General features: G+C 45.4%; 1 pseudogene, besides 2 other annotated features; it reads left to right on the top strand.

The window, feature by feature from the left end:
• Positions 732 to 1,026: a silencer, noted in NCBI's record as "tiled region #13207; HepG2 Repressive non-DNase unmatched - State 4:PromP, and K562 Repressive DNase matched - State 9:DNaseU". NCBI's record gives its function as "represses a minimal TATA promoter and a strong SV40 promoter by Sharpr-MPRA in HepG2 and K562 cells {active_cell/tissue: HepG2 | K562}" and the evidence as "EXISTENCE:reporter gene assay evidence [ECO:0000049][PMID:27701403]".
• Positions 7,430 to 7,673, top strand: RN7SKP186 (RN7SK pseudogene 186; annotated as a pseudogene).
• Positions 20,604 to 21,105: an enhancer, noted in NCBI's record as "NANOG hESC enhancer chr6:30845201-30845702 (GRCh37/hg19 assembly coordinates)". NCBI's record gives its function as "activates a minimal SCP1, AML or CMV promoter by ChIP-STARR-seq in primed H9 embryonic stem cells {active_cell/tissue: H9 hESC(primed)}" and the evidence as "EXISTENCE:reporter gene assay evidence [ECO:0000049][PMID:30033119]".

Here is a 22,815-nt window from a genome sequence, read left to right on the forward strand (position 1 = left end):
GGAAGATCTAGTGAAGCTGCCTTCACTTTCTCTTTCTGCCTTCACATTTCTCTTTCAGCCCACCTCAACCTGAGGCCACAGGCAGCTGGGCTCCACCAGTGCCACTGCCACCATCCCAAAAGGCCAGGGGCTCTCATCCCAGTAGTAGTAATTAATCTGTCATGCACAATTCATAGTATTTCAACATTAGGTTCCAAATAAGTAACCTGAGCATCCCTGGGTCTTGCTAACCTATGGGAATGTGCAAATGGGGCCACCTTAAGATAGTAACAACATTTCAGTGTCTCCTTCTCTGCCCAAGTATTTCTGGGGGTCTGAGGGAAATCTCACTCGTGCTCCTAAATCCAGGCACCCAGGCCAACAGCAACTCTCCATCGCCTGCTGAGCATTCCCCCAGGGAACCGGAGCCCTTCAGGCATCAATTCTGCATTGGGCAGAGCAGTGTCTATGTCCAGTGGGGAAATGCCTTTCCCCTCTTTTGTGTTCCTGTTCACGAAGGGGCCACCCAAGCAATGCTGGTGGGCTCCAGCATTGTGCAGAGCTTGTAGAACCACAGCTTCTATGTTGACCTTCAGCTTTCTTTTTGCTTCGGATGGAGGCAGGACTGGACTAAATGTGGTGACAAACAACATTCATTTACTCTTTTATTCAACACATATTTCCTAAATTCCTTATCCATGCTAGCCACATGATGAACATGATAAACAAGATAAACGTGGTCTCTGTGCCCATGGAGTTTATGGTTTGGTACAAGATCAAAAAGCGGTATACACATACACAAACACGAACAAAAAAGCAGTTATGATTTAATGTCCAAGACTTTGTTATTGGTTCAAGTTTATCATGCATGGATGCTTCTTCTGCTTGGATGAGTTTTGTGCGTGCAGCTTGTCAACTCTCAGGCAAACAAACAGACCCTGTCAACCCACTGCGACCTCACTGCTCCCGGGCTGCCTGCTGGGGCCCAGTGAGGGAGGTTAACTCTTACTGTGCTAAAGTGTCTGATTTGTTTCAACACTCTAACAACCAAAGAAAACACTGATTGTATCTCTTAAAGAGCTTTTCTTCCTTCCCCATTCCACACTATGAATTTATGAATTCCAAACTTCACACTTTATGTAAATTTGAAGCTTCTGGCCAAGCGTGGTGGCTCATACCTGTAATCCTAGCACTGTGGGAAGCCAAAGCGGATGATTGCTTGAGCTCAGGAGTTCGAGACCAGCTTGGACAATGTGGTAAAACCCCGTCTCTACCAAAAATACAAAAATTAGCCAGGCATAGTGGCACACGCCTGTAATCGTAGCTACTGGGAGGCTGAGGAAGGAGGATCACTGGAGCCCAAGAAGTCAAGGCTGCAGTGAGCCATGATCATACCACTGCACTCCAGCCTTGGAGACGCAGCAAGACCCTGTCTCAAAAAAATAAAATAAAAATAAAATAAATAACATTTGAGGCTTCTTCACTTACTTTGTGCCATTTACAGGCCAGCTGCTCCTGGTGAGAATGGAGGTGTGTAGTGATCTCTCACTTCCCACTGTGTGCTTTGTGGCAGAAACTGCTGTTGTCCCCAAGTATCCATTCTCCTCTTCTTCCTTACTAATGAGACTCCCAAATTTTTGCTGGACTTGTGGCCATCCTGAATCAAGACTACATTTCCCAGTATCACATGCTGTGGGACTAGCTTTTGGCCAACATGATCTGAATCAAATGATGTGAGCAACCTTTTGTTCTGCCCTCAAATGGCAGGGGTGATGGCAAAAATTCTGGCAGCAAAAATGGATGATGTGGCCAGGCATGCTGGCTCACACCTATAATCCCAGCACTTTGGGAGGCTGAGATGGGTGGATCATCTGAGGTCAGGAGTTTGAGACCACCCTGGCCAACATGGTGAAACCCCATATCTACTAAAAATACAAAAATGAGCCAGATGTGGTGGCACCCACCTGTAGTACCAGCTACTCAGGAGGCTGAGGCAAGAGAATCACTTGAACTCAGGAGGCGGAGGTGGCAGTGAGAAGAGATTATGCCACTGCACTCTAGCCTGGGCAACAAAGCGAGACTCTGTCTCGAAAAAAAAAAAAAAAAACGATGGTGAAGGCCTATATATTAGTCTGTTTTCATGCTGCTGATAAAGACATGCCTGAGACTGGGTCATTTATAAAGAAAAAGGGGTTTAATGGACTCACAGTTCCATGTGGCAGGGGAGGCCTCACAAGCATGGCAGAAGGCAAAAGGCACATCTTACATGGTGGCAGACAAGAAGAGAATGAGAGACCAAGTGAAAGGGATTTCCCCTTATAAAACTATCCGATCTTGTGGGACTTACTACCACAAAAACAGTATGGGGGAAACCACTCCCTGTGATTCAATTATCTCCCATCAGGTCCCTCCCACAACACATGGGAATTATGGGAACTACAACTCAAGATGAGATTTGGGTGGGGACACAGCCCAACCATATCATTCTGCCCCAGCCCCTCCCAAATCTCATGTCCTCACATTTCAAAACCAATCATGCCTTCCCAACAGTCTTAACTCATTTCAGCATAAACTTAAAAGTCCACAGTCCAAAGTCTCATCTGAGACAAGGCAAGTCCCTTCCAACTATGAGGCTGCAAAATCAAAAGCAAGTTAGTTACTTCCTAGATATAGTGGGGGTATAGGCATTGGGTAAATACAGCTATTCCAAATGGGAGAAATTGGCCAAAACAAAGGGGCTACAGTCCCCATGCAAGTCCAAAATCCAGTGGGGCAGTCAAATCTTAAAGCTCCAAAATTATCTCCATTGACTCCATGTCTCACATCCAGGTAACACTGATACAAGAGATGGGTTCCCATGGCCTTGGGCAGCTCTGCCCCTGTGGCTTTACATGGTACAGCCCCTCTTCTGGCTGCTTTCATGGGCTGGTGTTGAGTGTCTGTTGTTTTTCCAGGCACACAGTGCAAGCTGTGGGCGGATCTACCATTCTGGGGTCTGGAGGATGGTGGCCCTCTTCTCACAGCTCCACTAGGCAGTGCCCCAGTGGAGACCCTGCATGGGGGCTTCAACCTCCCATTTTCCTCCCGCAGTGCCCTAGCAGAGGTCCTCCGTGAGAGCTCCACCGCTGCAGCAAACTTCTGCCTGGACATCCAGGTGAAATCTAGTTGGAGGTTCCCAAACCTCAATTCTTGACTTCAGTGCACCCACAGGCTCAACACCATGTGGAAGCTGCCAAGGCTTGGGGCTTGCACCCTCTGAAGCCATGACCCAAGCTGTACCTTGGCCCCTTTTAGCCATGGCTGGGATGCAGGCACCAAGTCTCCAGGCTGCACACAGCAGGGGGGCCCTAGGCCTGGCCCACAAAACCATTTTTTCTCCCTAGTCTCCAGGTCTGTGATGGGAGGGGCTGCTGCAAAGGTCTCTGACACGCCCTGGAGACATTTACCCCATTGTCTTGGTGATTAACATTTGACTCTTCATTACTTATGCAAACTTCTTCAGCTGGCTCGAATTTCTCCTCAGAAAATGATTTTTTTGGCTGGGCGTGGCGGCTCAGGCCTGTAATCCCAGCACTTTGGGAGGCTGAGGCAGGTGGATCACTTGAGTTCAGGAGTTCGAGACGAGCCTGGGCAAAACCCCATCTCTACAAAAAATACAAAAATTAGCTGGGCACGGTGGCTCACGCCTGTAATCCCAACACTTTGGGAGGCCACGGCAGGCAGATCACTTGAGGTCAGTAGTTCAAGACCAGCCTGGTCAGCCAACATGATGAAACCCTGTCTCTACTAAAAATACAAAATTAGCTGGACGTGGTGGCATGTGCCTGTAATTCCAGTTACTTGGGAGGCTGAGGCAAAAGAATTGCTTGAACCTGGGAGGCAGAGGTTGCAGTGAGCCAAGATCATGCCACTGCACTACAGCCTGGGTGACAGAGCTAGACTCCATCTCAAAAACAAACAAACAAAAAAGAAATGGGTTTTTATTTTCTATCACATCGTCAGGCTGCAAGTTTTCTGAACTTTTATGCTGTGTTTCAGTTTTAAAACTGAATGCTTTTAACAGCACCTACATCACCTCTTGAATGCTTTGCTGCTTAGAAATTTCTTCTGCCAGATACCCTAAATCATCTCCCTCAAGTTCAATGTTCCACAAATCTCTAGGTCAGGGGCAAAATGCCACCAGTCTTTGTGGTAAAACATAGCAAGAGTCACCTTTACTCCAGTTCCCAACAAGTTCCTCATCTCCATTTGAGACCACCTCAGCCTGTATTTCATTGTCCATATCATTATCAGGATTTTGGTCAAAGCCATTCAACAAGTCTCTAGGAAGTTCCATACTTTCCCACACTTTCCTGTCTTCTGAGCCCTCCAAACTGTTCCAGTCGCTACCTGTTACCCAGTTCCAAAGTTGCTTCCACATTTTTGGGTTACTTTACAGCAGCATCTCACTCCCATTACCAATGTACTGTATTAGTCCCTTTTCATGCTACTGATAAAAACATACCCAAGACTGGGTAATTTATAAAGAAAAAGAAGAGATTTAATGGACTCACAGTTCCACATGGCTGGGGAGGCCTCACAATCACAATTGAAGGCAAAAGCCATGTCTTACATGGTGGCAGACAAGAACAGAATGAGAGACTAAGTGAAAGGGGTTTCCCCTTATAAAACCATCAGATCTCATGAGACTTATTCACTACCATGAAAACAGTATAGGGGAAACCACCCCTGTGATTCAGTTATCTCCCACCAGGTCCCTCCTGCAACACATGGGAATTATAGGAGCTACAATTCAAGATGAGATTTGGCTGGGGACACAGCCAAACCATATCAGTTTATAATCCCAGCACTTTGGGAGGCCAAGACAGGATTATCACTTGAGGCCAGAAGTTGGAGACTTACTTGGGCAACATAGGGAGACTTCCTCTCTAAAAGCAAACAAAAAACCAAGTTATCCAGGCATGGTGGCATGTTCCTGTAGTCCTAGCTGTTCCAGAGGCTGAGTTGGAAAGATCACTTGAGCCCAGGAGTTCAAGGCTGCAGTGAACCGTGATTGTGCCACTGTACTCCAGCCTAGGCAACAGAGCGAGGCCCTCTTTCTCTCTCTCTCTTTTTTTAAACAAGGAAGAAAAAAGAAAAGAAAATAGGGTGGTGAGGAGGCTGGCCAAAGTGGTGATAACCTCGTGCACTAGGTCCTAGCAGCTGGTAGCAGGGGAGCCAGGAGGTGTAGCACTCTGCCTGGTAAAGCAGTCTGTCAGGGTCTGTTTGCCTGAGAGTTGACAGGCTGCAAGCACAAAAATATAAAAGGGGGCCAGGGACTTGCTAATCTTGCCGGAGAGTCGGCGCAGCTCAGTGCAAGGACTTGGGAAGGCAGGGAACTTTGAGAGAAGGTAAAAAGGAGGTGGATTCATGGAGAGGGAAGGGGAAAGTTGAGGGTTGGGGAGGTGTGGTGAGGAGCTGAGATCTTGGAGAGACATTCTTCGTTGGCCTAGGGACACCACATAAACACCTCTGTGCATGGTGGGAGGGACCAGCTCCTCCCCAAACACTGTTTAGATTTTGGCCTTGAAAACCATGACTACTAACGTTCCTTGGGTTTTCTGTGAGTGTGACCAGTCTCCTCAGCTCCCAGCTGGCACATAAAGGAGATGTGTTCTTTTCTTGCCGATGTGAGGCTACAGGATCTCATGAGGAACATCCCATGAACAAACAGTACGGCTGAGCCCTCACCTGCGTCTCATCCTAATCTTGGTCCTCCCCCAGCACACTCCCAGCTCTATCGCCTGGAGTTACAGACAAACCCGCAGACCAATGTGAAAAGCCAATTGCCCAGAGAAACCCAGCAGAGTCTTCAGCTACGCCTGACAGTCATCCGGGGTTAAACACCAGCCTGGAATTTTAGCTTCCTGTCCAGGAAAAACCAAATACATAAATCACTTCTCTCTCTCTCTCTTTTTTTTAATGGAGTCTTGCTCTGTCACCCAGGCTAGAGTGCAGTGGTGTGAGCTCAGCTTACTGCAACCTCTGCCTCCCAGGTTCAAGCGATTCTCCTGCCTCAGCTTCCTGAGTAGCTGGGATTACAGGCGCGCACCACCATGCCTGGCTAATTTTTGCATTTTTAGTAGAGACAGGGTTTCACCACGTTGGTCAGGCTGGTCTGGAACTACTGGCCTCGTGATCCACCTGCCTTGGCCTCCCAAAGTGCTGGGATTACAGGTGTGAACCACCACGCCCGGCCTAATAATTCATCTTACTACTAGAATTTCAGGCTTCCTTTTTAATTTGCTTGCTTTCTTGTTGGTCTGTGTCTTGGAACATAGGAACTTTCAATCCCTCCAATATGGGCTCCATCCAAATCTCAAGTTGAACTGTAATTCCCAGTGTTGGAGTGTTGGAGGAGAGGCCTGGTGGGAGGTGATTGGATCATTGGGGCAGATTTCCCCCTTGCTGTTCTCGTGATAGTGAGTGAGTTCCCACGAGATCTGGTTGTTTGAAAGTGTGTAGTAGAGCCGGGCGTGGTGGCTCACGCCTGTAATCCCAGCATGTTGGGAGGCTGAGGTAGGCGGATCACCTGAGGTCGGGAGTTCGAGACCAGCCTGACCAATATGGAGAAACCCCGTCTCTACTAAATACAAATTTAGCCGGCATGGTGGCACATGCCTATAATCCCAGCTACTTGGGAGGCTGAGGCAGGAGAATCACTTGAACCTGAGAGATGGAGGTTGCTGTGAGCCGAGATCACGCCATTGCACTCCAGCCTGGGCAACAAGAGCAAAACTCTGACTCAAAAAACAAACAAACAAACAAAACAAAACAAAAAAACAAAGTGTGTAGTACCTCCCCCTTCACTTTCCCTCTCTCCCACTCCACCGTGTGAAGAAGGTGTTTGCTTCCCCTTGCCCTTCTGCCCAGATTGTAAGTTTCCTGAGGCCTCCCCAAGCATGATTCTTGTACAGCCTGTGGAACTGTGAGCCAATTAAACTTCCTTTCTTCATAAATTACCCAGTCTCAGGTAGTTCTTTATAGCAGTGCTAATACACCCTGTTACAGGACTAATACACCTTCCCTCTGCTAAGTGTCTATTGATCTGAAAACACATGCTATGAAACATTAAAACGCTACCTGAGACCATGTGTTTCTTTTATCAAGTGAGAGATTCCTTTATAATTTGGATAATTTCACTCCGTTTGCAAGTAGGATGCTCTAGAACTGATGTTATAAAGTCAGTTTAATGATTTAAATCCCATTGTGGAGAAAATAGATCTCTGCAGAAAAGTACATCCCTGCCCTTTCCCAGCTCCCCAGTCAAGGGGGGGCTTCCTGCTGAGCCTGGAGAATGCCTCTAAGAAGGTGACTAATGTACCATATCTGGCCCCTAGTGTGGGCAGCAGGCAAGTAGTCAGGTGCCTTCTCAAGTGGAGAAAGTTGAACGCTATTTTCCAGAGACATTGGATGTGAGGGTGATCTGGCTATGACATCTGTCACCCCAGTGATTGCCACTGTTGATTCTGCTGATCTAGCTGGCTAGGTGGTGTCCCCTTCTTCCCTCACCACTCCATGTGCATCCCTCCTGAAGCTGTGTGCTCAGTTGAAGAGGAGGACCATCCCCAATAGAGGAGGACCAGTCTTCGGCTAAGGGTATACGAGTAGCTGCGCTCCCCTGCTAGAATCTCCAAACAAGCTCTCAAGGTCCAGAGACAAGATGTGAACTTCATGTCTCAATTGATGATCACGTGGTTGTGTGGTGGTGCAGATTGTGTTTTTGATGTGCAGCAGGATTTGGGCAGTACAGAGGATGATGTCAGCATATCACCATCATCCTCAGGTGGGGCAGATCATTATGAAGTCCTTGCCTCTGGTTTCCCTGGAGTCTAGGTGAGAGGTGCATGAGATATCCCTTGGGTACCTCCCTCCTCCCCTCAAGGTGAATGTTTCATCAACAAAATCAAGCTAATAGAAGTCTCAGGTTGTCACTTTTGGTGTCTTGAATAGGATATTTGTGTGAGAGCCCCTTTGATTAACCCATTGCCAGCCCCCTCCCACCCTGACCTCTGAACCTTCACAATATCCATCCCTTACCCTCCCCGCTGACCAAGTGGCTCTGGATCCCAGTCAGGCGCTAAAAATCTGCTATTTGTGCTTAGGTTAGCTTTACCCATAGCTGAATGGCTCTGAGGTTCACGGTGGAAGATCTCTAAGGGGGACAGTTTTGCTGCTCCTGGGATGGAATAGGTATGATGGTGATCCATCCACCTGCAAGTTCTGGTTTCCCAGTACGTATATGATTTAGAATTAGAAGCACATAATACATAGCCTTGTTACTGGCACCCCTTCCCCTAATCTTGCTTTCCCTTTGTATTAGGCCATTCTTGCACTGCTATAAAGAAATACTTGAGACTGGGTAATTTGTAAGAAAAGAGGTTTAATTGGCTCACGGTTCTGTAGGCTGTACAGGAAGCATAGCAGCATCTCTTTCTGGGGAGGCCCCAGGAAGCTTTCAATCACGGTGGAAGGTGAAGGGGGAGCAGGGATCTCACATGGCGGGAGCAGGAGTGAGAGAGAGTGATGGTAAAGGTGCTACACCTTTTTAAATGACCATATATCACAGGAACTCACTCACTATGGTGAGTACAGTGCTAAAGGGGATGGTACTAGACCATTTATGAGAAATCTGCCCCCACGATCCAATCACCTCCCACAAGAACCCACCTCCAACATTGGGGATTACATTTCAATATAAGATTTGGGCAGGGACACGGATTCAAACTGTATCACCCTTCATATCATCCTTTATAATACTATGCCAATCTGATCATGGCCAGGTTCAACTTCTTTTTTAAAGGCTTCCCAGAGACTACTGAATCTTATGACCCAAATCTCTTTGCATGGCAGACAACTTGCTGAAGAAAGCCTGTCTGGCTGGGTTCAGTGGCTCACACCTGTAATCACAGCACTTTGGGAGGCCTATTCAGTTTGCGCCTAGGAGTTCAAGACCAGCCAGGGCAACAAAGAGAGACCACTGTTTAAAAAAAAAAAAAATTAGCCAGGCATTGGGGTACATGCCTATAGTCCCAGCTACTGAGGAGGCTGAGGTGAGGGGATCACTTGAGCCCAGGAGGTTGAGGCTGCAGTGAGCTGAGATCACATCACTGTACTCCAGCCTTAGTGTCAGAGTGATACCCTGTCTTGGAAAAAAAAATAAAAAAGAAAGAAAGCCTGTCTGATTTCACGAAAGGTTTTTGCAGGACACGCTTTTAGTTTCCACAAAACAGCCACCCTCTACTTCCTTACTGGCAAAGCTTTCATGAATATTATTTATTTGCCATTTCAGTGCTGCTTTCTCAGATATAGGCATACCTTGGAGATATTGCGGGCCCAGTTCCAGTTCATCACAATAAAGGGAATATCTCGGTAAAGTAAGTCACTAAGTTTTTGTTTTCCTAGTGCACATAAAAGTTATGCTTACACTATATTATGGTCTATTACGTGTGCAATAGCATTATGTCTTAAAGAAGTACATACCTTAATTTTAAAATACTTTATTGCTAAAAAATGATAATGATTATCTGAGCCTTCGGAGAGTTATAATCCTTTTGTGGGTGGAAGGTGTGTTGCTGTCTGATCAGAGTGGGGGCTGCTGAAGCTTAAGTGGCTATGGCAATTTCTTAAATTAAGACAACAACGAAGTTTGCCACATCGATTCACTCTTCCTTTTGTGAGAGATTTCTCTGTAGCATGTGATGCTGTTTGATACATGTTACCCACAGTAAAACTTCTTTTGAAATTGGAGTCAATTCTCTCAGACCCTGCTGCTTCTTTATTAACTAAGTTTATGTAATATTCTAAGTCCTTTGTTGTCATTTCAACAATGTTCATAGCATCTTCAACAGGAGTAGATTCCGTCTCAAGAAACCACTTTCTTTGCTCATCCACAAGAAGCACTTCCTCATCTATTCAAATTTTATCATGAGATTGCAGCAATTCAGTCACATCTTCAGGCTCCACTTCTAGTTCTCTGGCTTTTTCTACCACATCTGCAGTTACCGAAGTCAGGAACCCCTCAAAAGTCATTCATGAAGGTTTGCACCAAACTTCTTCCAAACTTTTGTAAATGTTGATATTTTGACCTCCTCCCGTGAATCACAAGTGTTCTTTTTTTTTCTTTCTCTCTCTCTCTTTTTTTTTTTTTTTTTTTTTTTTTTGAGACAGAGTCTTACTCTTGTTGCCCAGGCTGGAGTGCAGTGGTGCGATATCAGCTCACTGCAACCTCTGCCTCCCAGATTCAAGCAATTCTCCTGCCTCAGCCTCCCAAGTAGCTGGGATTACAGGCCTCTGCCACCAGGCCTAGCTAATTTTTGTATTTTTAGTAGAAATGGGGTTTCACCATGTTGGCCAGGCTGGTTTCAAACTCCTGACCTCAGGTGATCCACCTGCCTCGGCCTCCCAAAGTGCTAGGATTATAGGAGTGTGTCACCATGCCTGGCTAATTTTATATTTTTAGTAGAGATGGGGTTTCACCATGTTGGCCAGGCTGGTCTGGAACTCCTAACCTCAGGTGATCCACCCACATCGGCCTCCCAAAGTGCTGGGATTACAGGTGTGAGCTACCGTGCTCAGCTCACAAGTGTTCTTAATGGCATCTAGAATGATGAATGCTTTCCAAAAGATTTTCAATGTATTTTGCCCAGATATGTCAGAAAAATCACTATCCATTGCAGCTATAACCTTACAAAATTTATTCTTAAATAATAAGACTTGAAAGTTGAAATCACTCCTTGATCCATAGGCTGCAGAATGGACACTGTGTTACCAAGCATGAAAACAACATTTATCTCCTTGTATCTCTGCATCAGAGCTCTTGGGTGGCCAACTACATTGTCAATGAGCAGTAATATTTTGAAAGAAATCTTTTTTTTCCTGAGCAGTAGGTCTCTCAACAGTGGGCTTAAAATATTCAACAAACCATGCTGTAAACAGATATGCTGTCATCCAAGCTTTGTTGTTCCATTTATAAAACACAGGCAGAGTAGATTTAGCATAATTCTTAAGAGCCAGAGGGTTTTCAGAGTGGTAAATGAGGATTAGCTTCAACTTAAAGCCATCAGCTATATTAGCCTCTAACAAGAGAGTCAGACTGTCCTTTGAAGCTTTGAAGCCAGGCAGGCATTGACTTTTCCTCTGTAGCTATGAATGTCCTAGATGGCCTCTTCTTCCAATATAAAGCTATTTTATCTACATGGAAAATCTGTTGTTTAGTGTAGTCACCTTCACCAATTATCTTGGCTAGATCTTCTGGATAACTTGATGCAGCTTCTTCATCATCACTTGCTGCTTCACCTCGCACTTTTATGTTATGGAGCTGGCCTTCTTTGGTTTGGGTGGCAAGGAGAGAAGGTTGGGGTTTGTTTTTGACATACAAATCACTTTTTAAAACTTCAACAATAACAAATTAATACTGTGTTTGTGTGTGTATGTATGTGTGTGTGTATGTGTTTAAGAGAGATAGAAAATAAATGTTTCTTATTGTTTGAAGCTACTTACTTTTGGGGCAATTTATTATGCAGCAATAGATAACAAACACAATGGATTTTCACCAAATTTTAAGGTTTGTTTTTTTTTAATTAAAAAATGACTTAAAATATATGCTATGTGGCATACAGCGTATCTAATTTAGTGGTTCTGTGGTATCACCTCAAAGAAATTAGCAGTTTTACACCAGAGCAAATTAAAGTGATGTATAATGTGAGGCTTGGAAAGATAGTCTATGCCTTTTAAGATATTGTGAATATAGAAAACAAACAGAAATTGCAAGTAGGAACCTTATATAGGAAGTTATAACTGTGAGCACTTCAAATTACAATAACTAATTTGCCATCCGGCTGCTTCTTACATGGGCAACTCCATAGAACCATTCTTAAGGCTCATTACAAACATACTTATTTATGTCAGTTGGTAACCGGGAACAACATAGGGTTCAGCTAGTCTTTGACACAAAAATATCATTAATTTGTTGTGGGAAGTCAGGGACCCTGAATGGAGGGACCAGCTGGAGCCAAGGCAGAAGAACATAAATTGTGAAGATTTCATGGACATTTAGCAGTTCCCCAAATTAATACTTTTATAATTTCTTACACCTGTCTTTACTGCAATCTCTGAACATAAATTGTGAAGATTTCATGGATATTTATCACTTCCCTAATACTCTTATAATTTCTTATGCCTGTCTTTAATCTCTTAATCCTATTATCTTCATAAACTGAGAATGTACGTCACCTCAGGACCACTATTGTACAAATTGGTTGTAGAACATGTGTGTTTGAACAATATGAAATCTGATTGTAAAACATGTGGGTTTGAACAATATGAAATCAGTGCACTCTGAAAAAGAACAAAGTAACAGCAATTTTCAGGTAACAAGAAAAGATAACCATAAAGTCTGACTGCTTGCAGGGTTGGGCAGAATAGAGCCATATTTTTCTTCTTGCAGAAAGCCTATAAACAGATGTGCGAGGAGAAATATCGCTGAATTCTTTTCCCAGGAAGGAATAACCCTGGGGAAGGAATGCATTCCTCGGGGGAGGTCTGTAGATGGCTGCTCTGGGAGTGTCTGTCTTATGTGGTTGAGATAAGGACTGAAATATGCCCTGGTCTCCTGCAGTACCCTCAGGCTTACTAGGATTGGGAAATTCCAGCCTGGTAAATTCTAGTCAGACCGGTTCTTTGGTCTCGAACCCTGTTTCCTGTTAAGATGTTTATCAAAACAATACGTGCACAGCGGGACATAGACCCTCATCAGTAATTCTAATTTTGCCTTCGCTTTGTGATCTTTATTGCCCTTCGAAGCATGTGATCCTTGTGGCTTACTCCCTGTTCGTACATCCCCTCCCCTTTTAAAATCCCTAATAAAAACCTGCTGGTTTTGCAGCTCGGGGTTGTCATCACGGTCCTACCAGTATGTGATGTCACCGCTGGAGGCCCAGTTGTAAAATTTCTCTCTTTGTACTGTTTCTCTTTATTTCTCAGACCAGCCGACACTAAGGGAAAATAGAAAAGAACCTACATTGAAATATTGGGGGCTGGCTCCCTCTATAATTTGTCTTCATACTTCATGGGGTTTTATGAAGGTCAAAGTAAATAATGTGAGGTTTTGGCAACACAAAAGAACTATACAGATGTATCACTGTGATTATATATCAATCAAGAAAGGTCAGCCAGGCGTGGTGGCTCACGCCTGTAATCACAGCGCTTTGGGAGGCTGAGGCAGGCAGATCACGAGGTCAGGAGATCGAGACCATCCTGGCTAACACGATGAAACCCTGTCTCTACTAAAAATACAAAAAATTAGCTGGATGTGGTGGCACGTGCCTGTAATCTCAGCTACTTAGCAGGCTGAGGCAGGAGAATTGCTTGAACCTGGGAGGCGGAGGTTGCAGTGAGCCGAGATCATGCCACTGCACTCCAGCCTGGCAACAGAGCGAGACTCTGTCACAAAAAAAAAAAAAAAAAAAAGTCAAGTTTTGCCATGGTTAAAAAAATCTTTACTTTTTTTTTTGAGACAGAGTCTCACTCTGTCTCTCAGACTGGAGTGCAGTGGCATGATCTTGGCTCACTGCAACTTCTGCCTCCTGGGTTCAAGCAACTCTCCTGCCTCAGCCTCCTGAGTAGCTGGGATCACAGGCACCTGCCACCACCCCCAGCTAATTTTTGTATTTTTAGTAGAGATGGGTTTTCACTATATTGGCCAGGCTAGTCTTGAACCCCTGACCTCAAGTGATCTACCTGCCTCAGACTTCCAGAGTACTGGGATTACAGGCTTCAGCCACCATGCCTGGCCAAAAATCTTAAGATGTTTACAACATCCAAGATTTATTTTTGCTCATGCTATATGTATTCATTGCAGGTTGGCTATGGCCCTGTCCATGTCATCTCACACCAGGACCCAGATGGCAGAGCTGGAGCAGTGACAGGTGTCATGAGAGGAGAAAGAGTCATGGAGAACCACACACTGGCCTTTGAAGCTATTTCCTGGAAGTGATATATGTTGCTTCTGCTCACATTTGATTGGCCACAGAAGGTCACATAGCCAAACCTGATGCCAAGGAGTGAAATAATGTAATCTTCCCATATTTTTGCATTTTCTATTGTTCTTTCTTTCTTCCTGATGCTCCAAGATTTCTTCTTTATCCTCTCCTGTTTGTCTCAAGAGTTCCTTTTAGGCTAGGTGTGGTGGCTTACACCTGCAGTCCCAGCACTTTGGGAGGCTGAGACAGGAAGATCACCTGAGGCCAGGAGTTTGAGAGTAGCCTGGGCAGCATGGTGAGATCCTGCTTCTACACGCACACATGCACACACACACACACATACAGAAAAGAAAGAAAGAAAGAGAAAGAAAGAAAGAAAGAAAGAAAGAAAGAATTTCTTTTAGCCATTCTTTTAGGGTAGGTCTGCTGATGACAAATTCTTTTCATTTTCCTTCTCCTAAGAATGTCTTGATTTCCCCTTCATTCATGAAGGGTATTTTTGATGGCTACAGGATACTGGGCTGACAGTTATTTTCCTTTGGCACTTGAAAAAAATGTCATTTCCTTTTGGTTTTCATGGTTTCTGAAAAGCAATCTTCTGTCATTTGGATTGTTTTTCCTCTACAAATACTGTGTCATTTCTGATTGGTTTCAAGATTTTTTAGTTTCCAGAAGTTTAATTATGATGTGCCTCTGCATGGATTTCTTTGGGTTTATTCTGTTTGGGATTTGCTTAGCATCTTGAATCTGTTATGTTTTTTCCCCCTAAATTTAGGAAAATTTTTAGCCATTATTCCTTTCAATTCTTTTTCAGCTCCATCCTGTTTCTCCTCTCCTTCTGGGACCCCAATAACATGAATGCTAGATCTTTTGTTACAGTCACATAGTTATGTTCATTGTGGTCTGAGGTTACGTTCATTTTTTTCCTATCTATTTTCTCCCTGTTGTTCAGATTGGATGAATTCTGTTGTTCTATCTTCAAGTTTACTGAGTCTTTTCTCTGTCCTCTCCATTCTGCTGTTGTGCCCATTCGGTGAATTTTAAATTTTTATTATGGCATTTTTCAGTTCTAAAATTTCCATTTGATTCTTCTTTATATCTTCTATTTCTTTTCTGAGACTTCTCCCTTTTTTATTTGTTTCAATCATATTTACAATGACTTGTTGAAACATTTTTTATGACGGCTGCTTCCTTGTCAGATAATTGCAACATCTGTGTTATCGTGATATTGACATCTGTTGTCTTTTCTTATTCTGGTTGAGATTTTCCTGGTTCTTGGTATGGCAAGTGATTTTCAATTGCATCCTGGACATTTGGATATTATGTTATGAGACTCTGGATCCTATTTATTAATTTATTTTGAGACAAGGTATCACTCTGTCACCCAGTCTGGAGGAGTGTAGTAGTGCAATCTTGGCTCACTGAAATCTCTGCCTCCTAGCTCAGGTGATCCTTCCGCCTCAGCCCCCCAAGTGGCTGGGACTACAGGCATGTGCCACCACACCTGGTTAATTTTTGTATTTTTTGTAGAGACAGGGTTTTACCATGTTGTCCAGGCTGTTCTCAAACTCTTGAGCCCAAGTGATCCACCCAACTTGGCCTCCTAGAGTGTTGGGACTACAGGTGTGAGCCATTGCACCCAGCCTCTGGATCCTATTTAAATCTTCTATTTTATCAAGCCTCCTTGATACCACACTAACAGAAGGGTGTGTGTGTGTGTGTGTGTGTGTGTGTGTGTGTGTGTGTTAGGGGGTGTTGTCTGGTTCCTGCTGAGTGAGAGGTGAAGGCTTAGGTTCCTCACTTGGCTTCCATTGGTGGGGGTAGGAAACCTCAGTCCTGCTGGGTGCAGATGAGTTTTTGGGCTACTCTCTAGGCCTCTGCTGATATCATTCTGGCTAGGAGCGGGAGGGGTACCACTAGCCATGTGGTTGCCACTGATAACCTGGGGGTAAGGTGGAGGGACAGAGGCTTTATCACCACTGGATGATGGTACAAGTTCCAGCTTTCCTCTTGGCTTCCTCTACTCAGAAGGAGTGAGAGGAACACCTCACTACCACTGAGGGTGAAGAGGAAATCCAGGACCCCATGTTACCTCCACTGACACTGTGGGGTATGCTTTTCACCGTTAGTGTGAATAAATGTCTGGGCTTTTGAGATATCTTTTCAGATTTTTTTCTATGTCTGACGACTTATGGCTCCAACTGGATCCTCCAACTGCTCCTGTGGCCCCACCCAGAAGTGACTCAGCATGTATGAGGACCATTTCCCACACCCCTATGATTGCAACCAATCAGCAGCAAGCACCCATTGCCTAGCTACTCCCCTTCTTCCCCCAAACTATCCTTGGAAAACCCTAGTCTCAGAATTTTTTCTAAGAGGCTGATTTGAGCATAATAAGACTCCAGTCTTCTCCTTCGCCAGCTCTACATGTGAAAAACTCTTTCTCTACTGCAATTCCCCTGCCTTTATAAATTGGCTCTATCTGGGCAGCAGGCAAGAAGAACCCATTGGACACTTACAGTCCCAACAGTTTTAAGTTCCACTTCTCCCAACAGTAAGTAATCTGCTCATTAACACACGCTTTATTGGCTCTTCTCCCTTCCCTGTCTCACTCTTCCCAGCCCTTCACTCAGTGCCCCTCCTAAATAAACTACTTATATCCAAGTACTTGTCCCAGGATGTGCTTTTGGAGAAACCTAAAATAAAACAGTAATTTTTGTGGCTATTCATACCTATTAATGGACATTTAACTACTTACCTTTCCTTTTCTTATTTATTTATTTCTGTATTTATTTACTCATTTTTGAGACACAGTCTCACTCTGTGGTCCAGCCTGGAGTACAGTGGTATGGCTCACTGCAACCTCCATCTCTCAGGCTCAAATGATCCTCTCACCTCAGATGCCTGAGTAGCTGCGATCACAGATGTGCACCACTACACCTGGCTAATTTTCGTATTTTTTTGCAGAGACGGGGCTTCACCATGTTGCTCAGGCTGTTCTCAAACTCCTGGCCTCAAGTGATTTGCCTACCTGGGCCTCCCAAAATGCTAGGATTGTCAGAGGCGTGTGAACCACAGCAATCCCATCTTAAATAAGAGCTGGGTAAAATAAGGCTGAAACCTACTGGGCTGCATTCCCACATGGTTAAGGTATTCTAAGTCACAGGATGAGACAGCAGGCCAGCACAAAATATAGGTCATAAAGACATTGCTGATAAAGCAGTTTTCAATAAAGGAGCCAGCCAAAACCCACCAAAACCAAAATGGCGATGAGAGTGACCTCTGGTCATCCTCACTGCTACACTCCCACCAGCGCCATGACAGTTTACAAATGCCATGGCAATGTCAGCAAGTTACCCTATATGGTCTAAAAAGGGGGGCTGGGTGCCCTGGCTCACGTCTGTAATCCCAGCACTTTGGGAGGCCGAGGTAGGCAAATCACTTGAGGCCAGGAGTTCGAGACCAGCCTGGCCAACATGGTGAAACCTTGTCTCTACTAAAAAAAAATACAAAAATTAGCCAGGCCTGGTGGTGCACGCCTGTAATTCCAGCTACTCAGGGGGCTGAGGCAGAAGAATCACTTGAACCTGGGAGGTGGAGGTGGCAGTAAGCTGAGATCTCACCACTGCACTCCAGCCTGGGCAGCAAGAGTGAAACTCCATCTCAAAAATAAATAAATAAATAAAATAAAAAATAAAAAGGGGAGGCATGAATAATCCAGCCCTTGTTTAGCATATCATCAAGAAATAACCACAAAAACGGGCAACCAGCCGCCCTCAGGGCTGCTCCATGGAGCAGCCGTTCTTGTAATCCTTTACTTTCTTAATAAACTTGCTTTTACTTTGCACTGAGGACTCACCCAGAATTCTTTCTTGTGCGAAATCCAACAACCCTCTCTTGGGGTCTGGATTGAGACCCCTTTCCTGTAACAGGATTACAGCCGTGCGCCACCTCACCTGGCCTTTTTTTTTTTTTTTTGAGATGGAGTCTTGCTCTGTCGCCCAGGCTGGAGTGCAGTGGTGCGGTCTTGGCTCACTGCAAGCTCCGCCTCCCCGGTTCACGCCATCCTGCCGCTTCAGCCTCCTGAGTAGCTGGGACTACAGGGGCCCGCCACCACGCCCGGCTCGTTTTTTTGTATTTTTAGTAGAGACGAGGTTTCACCGTGTTAGCCAGGATGGTCTCGATCTCCTGACCTCGTGATCCGCCCACCTCGCCCTCCCAGAGTGCTGGGATTACAGGTGTGAGCCAGGGCGCCTGGCCTCACCTGGCCAATTCTTGATTCTATCCTGTAAACTGTCCTTGGAGTTTTCCCCAGGTGACTGCCCTCTGACTTCTTCACTTTGTGAATCAGTCCTTCACATCTTCCTCTCTTAGTAGCCCAGAAACCCCAGGTTCTAACTTCCTTGTGACACAGGAGTTAAGAAGAAATTACTTAGGTAGACAGTGAGGTTACCGAAGTTCTTGGTAAGGTTTCTCTTTTAATGGAAAGCAGGCCCAAATCATTTTTCCTTCTAACAAAGAGCAGCCTGTAAAATCGGGCTGCAGACATAGATGACGGCAGTTGTGCCAATCATGTTCAAAATGGCGGCCCCATCATCCCTTCTCTGTCAGCCACAGGTGCAGTAAGGAGCCGACAAAATGGCACCCTCCGAGAGAGTTCATTTGCATAATAAGCTTAGGGTGGGGCGGCCAGCCTTCCCAGCTATGTAAACAAACACCTGATCAAACCAATCTGTGAGTCCTAAGTAAATCAGACGCCGCCTCCTCAAGCTGGACTATAAATTCGGCTCATCTGCCTCCAGCTGCCCCTTTTCTCTCGGAAGTCCCCTCTCTCACTAGAGAGAGAGCTGTTTTCCTTTCTCTTTCTTTTGCCTATTAAACCTTCCCTCTTAAACTCCTCGCGACTCCTCGCGTGTGTCCGTGTCCTACATTTTCCTGGCATGGGATGGCAAACCCCGGGTATTTACCCCAGACAACTGGCTGCTTCACTTGCACTGGATCTTGAGGGTCGGGGAGATTTTTGACCTTTAACAGGGACTCCATCATTGCAAGTTTTCCTTGGAGACTCTTGATGGCCCAGGTTTAGTTTATACCTACTGTGAGAGCAAGAACTTGAGTAATGTATGGATGGACCTTTTTGGAAGGAAAACAATTTTCATGGACTTAAATTATTTTTATAATTTAAATGTGTGGAAACACAACTAACTATGAATTCCTTATGCTTCAGTAGTTAAGCAGTTATAAAACCAAAGCAAAGTAGCCATAGGTACAAACAAAAGTATAAAGACAAGTTTAACATTAATGTAATAAATAGTGTTTTTCTGAAATGAAGTTGCTGCTGGCAACAGACCATGTACTGCCTGATGAAGGTTCTTCCGCACTTGGCACAATATTCCACTGTGTGCCTGGCGATGACTCAATTCTTCCCCTTCTCATGTCTGTTCAAATTACTAAGAAATCTTTGTTAGAACTTGTCTCCTGGCCTTCACTTGGTACAAATGCGACCAAGACAATTAAAGCTATAAATAGGTAAATGCAAATGCAGGTACTCACAAGCAGGGCCAGGATCAGTTACAAATGACCCAAAACATGCTTATAACACTTTTCAAATGCTACTAAGGAAAGTTAGACATGGAACTTAATAGTTTTCACAGGTATTCACGAGTCCTCAGGAGTCCAGAGACCTCAGTTTGAGAACACTATCCTAGCACTGACCTTGACTTCCAGGGTGACCTTGAGGTAAGCATTTACCATTTTTGGATCTCTGTACATTTTTTGTACACAAGAATAATTTGGGCCACCAGTGTTCTTGGGAGATAAAAGAAGTTAGAGGAGTTAATGACAATGTTCCAAGATGTTCAAGGACTAGAGAGAAAGGATAAGAATGTATTATAGACCTCTAGAGTTGGAAAAAGAATGGTGGCTGAGATCCTCCAGCCTAGCTTTGGCTCTGTAATCAAAAAGACTCAGATTTGGGCCAAGCATTGTGGCACACGCCTGTAATCTCATTACACTGGGAGGCTGTGGCAGAAGGATCGCTTGAGGCCAGGAGTTTGAGACTAGCCTACGTAACATGGTGAGACCCTATCTCTACCAATCTCTACATACAAACAAAAAATGGCTGGGCGTGGTGGCTCATGCCTGTAATCCCAGCACTTTGGGAGGCGGAGGCGGGCGGATCACGAGGTCAGGAGTTCAAGATCAGCCTGGCCAACATGGTGAAATCCTGTCTCTACTAAAAATACAAAAATTAGCTGGGTGTGGTGGCGGGCACGTATAATCCCAGCTACTCTCAAGGCTGAGGCAGGAGAATCGTTTGAACCCGGGAGGCAGAGGTTGCAGTGAGCCGAGAGCGTGCCATTGCACTCCAGCCTAGGCAACAGGGCGAGACTCTGTCTCAAAAAAATAAAAATAAAAAATAACAGGACATGATGGTGCCTGAGCCCCAGCTATTTGGGAGGCTGAGGTGGGAGGATGGCTTGAGAGGTTGCATTGAGTTATAATTGTACCCCTGCACTCCAGCCTGGGTGACAGAGAGCTTGTCTCTATAAAACAAATAAACAAACAACTGAGATCTGAATTCCAGATCTGCCATTTACTGTGTGTGTATGGGGGATGGGGATGGAGAGCAACTTTTCTAACTCTCAGTTTCTACCCTAAGTGGGCATGTTTCAAAATGCCACATCACAGAACTGCTGTGTGGGCCAAATGAGATGGCTCTGGAAAGCGCTGAGAGCAGAGCCTGGCTCACAGCAAGGCTCAGGGATCCTAAGACGCTGCTGAGAATTCCACAGGCTTTTTAGCAAAGGACAATAGAAAAGAGAAAGTGAAGATTCTAACATTCTGCCTATAAATGACAACATCTCCTATATGTGCAAATTAGGTCATTGTACCCTAAATAGCCCCGCAGCTGCCCTGGGCTTCCAGTCAGCCTTTCTGACCTCTCTCTTGGGTCTGCTGCTTTGGGGTGCTTCCTGCCATTCCCTGCCCAAGCCTGAATCTCTTTCCTGGCCGCTTTCACTTTCCTTCCATTTTCCAGTAATTGGAGTTGGTCACCTGTGCAGCAAGCGCCCCCAAGTGGCCTTCCTGTTCACTGTCCGGACCATAAGGCCTAAAGAATACTCCGATAAGTTTATCAAGGCCGGGCTTCCGCAGAGGCAGGACTCACCAGGCTTAGCGGTCGGTCCAGGGTCGGTCCAGTCTGGAGGCCCAGGGAGCCATTCTACATCCCCCTTTCCATTTTGGAAGACTGAGATGGAGGAATCCAGGGGAAGTTCTGGGTAGGAAGCAGCCACTTGCCATTAAGTGGCAATTAAATTGCTATTGCAATTTAAGGTAAATCGCAGCCCCTCTGGGCCTAGTTTTCTTTTTTCTCACTCTTTTTTTGGCGATAGAGTCTTGCTCCGTCACCCAGGCTGGAGTGTAGTGGTGTGATCATAGTTACTGTTACCTCGAACTCTGGGGCTCAAGCCATCCTCCTGCCTCAGCTTTTGGGTAGCTGGGATTACAAGGTTTTCTTTTTATGAGAGCCCTGCCCCACTCATGTCAGAGGGCCCTGAGGAGGCAAACACAGGATGGTTGAAAATGCTAGTAAAACACCTAGGATGTGCACTGCTGTCCTGGCTGGAGGCTTAGGGGGAGCACCATGGGACGTACACAGGATAAAGTGGGATTAACTCCTCCCTCCCCTCAGCCATTACTCTGAACTCTGCATCCCACATGCTGCTGCCAAAAACCACTTTTAAAAGAACACAAATCTAAACATGTCATTTCCCAGCTCAAAACCCCAAGGTTCTTTCTCCTCACCTTCAGAATAAGCCAAACTACTCAATGATAGGTTCCAAATCTGCCTTTCTGGTTTCACTCATGGGATGGACCCTTCTTCCAGGTGAGGCTGCATTTGGACATAGCCATATTCACGCCTCCCTGCCTTGGCTCCTCCGCTTCTCTGGCCAGGAATGGCCTTGCCTCATCTCTGCAAATCTTAGCATGACTTAAGGCCCAGTTCAAGCTCCAGCTCCTCCCTGAGGTCTTCCTGAGTCTTGTCTCCTGTCCCACTCAGGAGGACCTGGCCTCCTCCTTCCCTGGGTTCCCATGACCCTTTCCAGCTCTGCCTGTAGCACGGTGTTCTGTCTTCTGTGACTACATATATACGCCTAACACTCTCTAGATTGTAAAGGCCTGGAAGGTGGGGAGTGGGTTCCATTACTGAATGCATCTTTCATAGCTCTCGCTGTCAGAGCCCTGCCCTATGCAAACTCTTTTATTTTTATTTATTTATTTATTTATTTATTTATTTTGAGAGGGACTTTCACTCTTGTATCCCAGGCTGGAGTGCAATGGCGCATTCTCAGCTCACTGCAACCTCCACCTCTCGGGTTCAAGCGATTCTCCTGCCTCAGCCTCCCAAGTAGCTGGGATTACAGGTAACCGCCACCATGCCTGGCTGATTTTTTTGCATTTTTAGTAGAGACAGGGTTTCACCACGTTGGTCGGGCTGGTCTCGAACTCCTGACTTCAGGTGATCTGCCTGACTCGGGCCTCCCAAAGTGCTGGGATGATAGGCATGAGCCACTGCACCTGGTGCCCTATGCAAACTCTTATTTTATTATTATTATTTTTTGAGACAGAGTCTCCCTCTGTCACCCAGGCTGGAGTGCAGTGGTGTGATCTTGGCTCACTGCAACCTCCACCTCTCAGGTGCAAACAATTCTCCTGCTTCAGCCTCCCAAGTAGCTGGGGTTACAGACGCGCACCACCACACCCAGCTAATTTTTTTCTATTTTTAGTAGAGATGGGGTTTCACCATGTTGGC

The sequence above is a fragment of the Homo sapiens genome, chromosome 6, assembly GCF_000001405.40.
Source record: "Homo sapiens chromosome 6, GRCh38.p14 Primary Assembly".
In the NCBI taxonomy this organism is placed as follows: domain Eukaryota; kingdom Metazoa; phylum Chordata; class Mammalia; order Primates; family Hominidae; genus Homo; species Homo sapiens.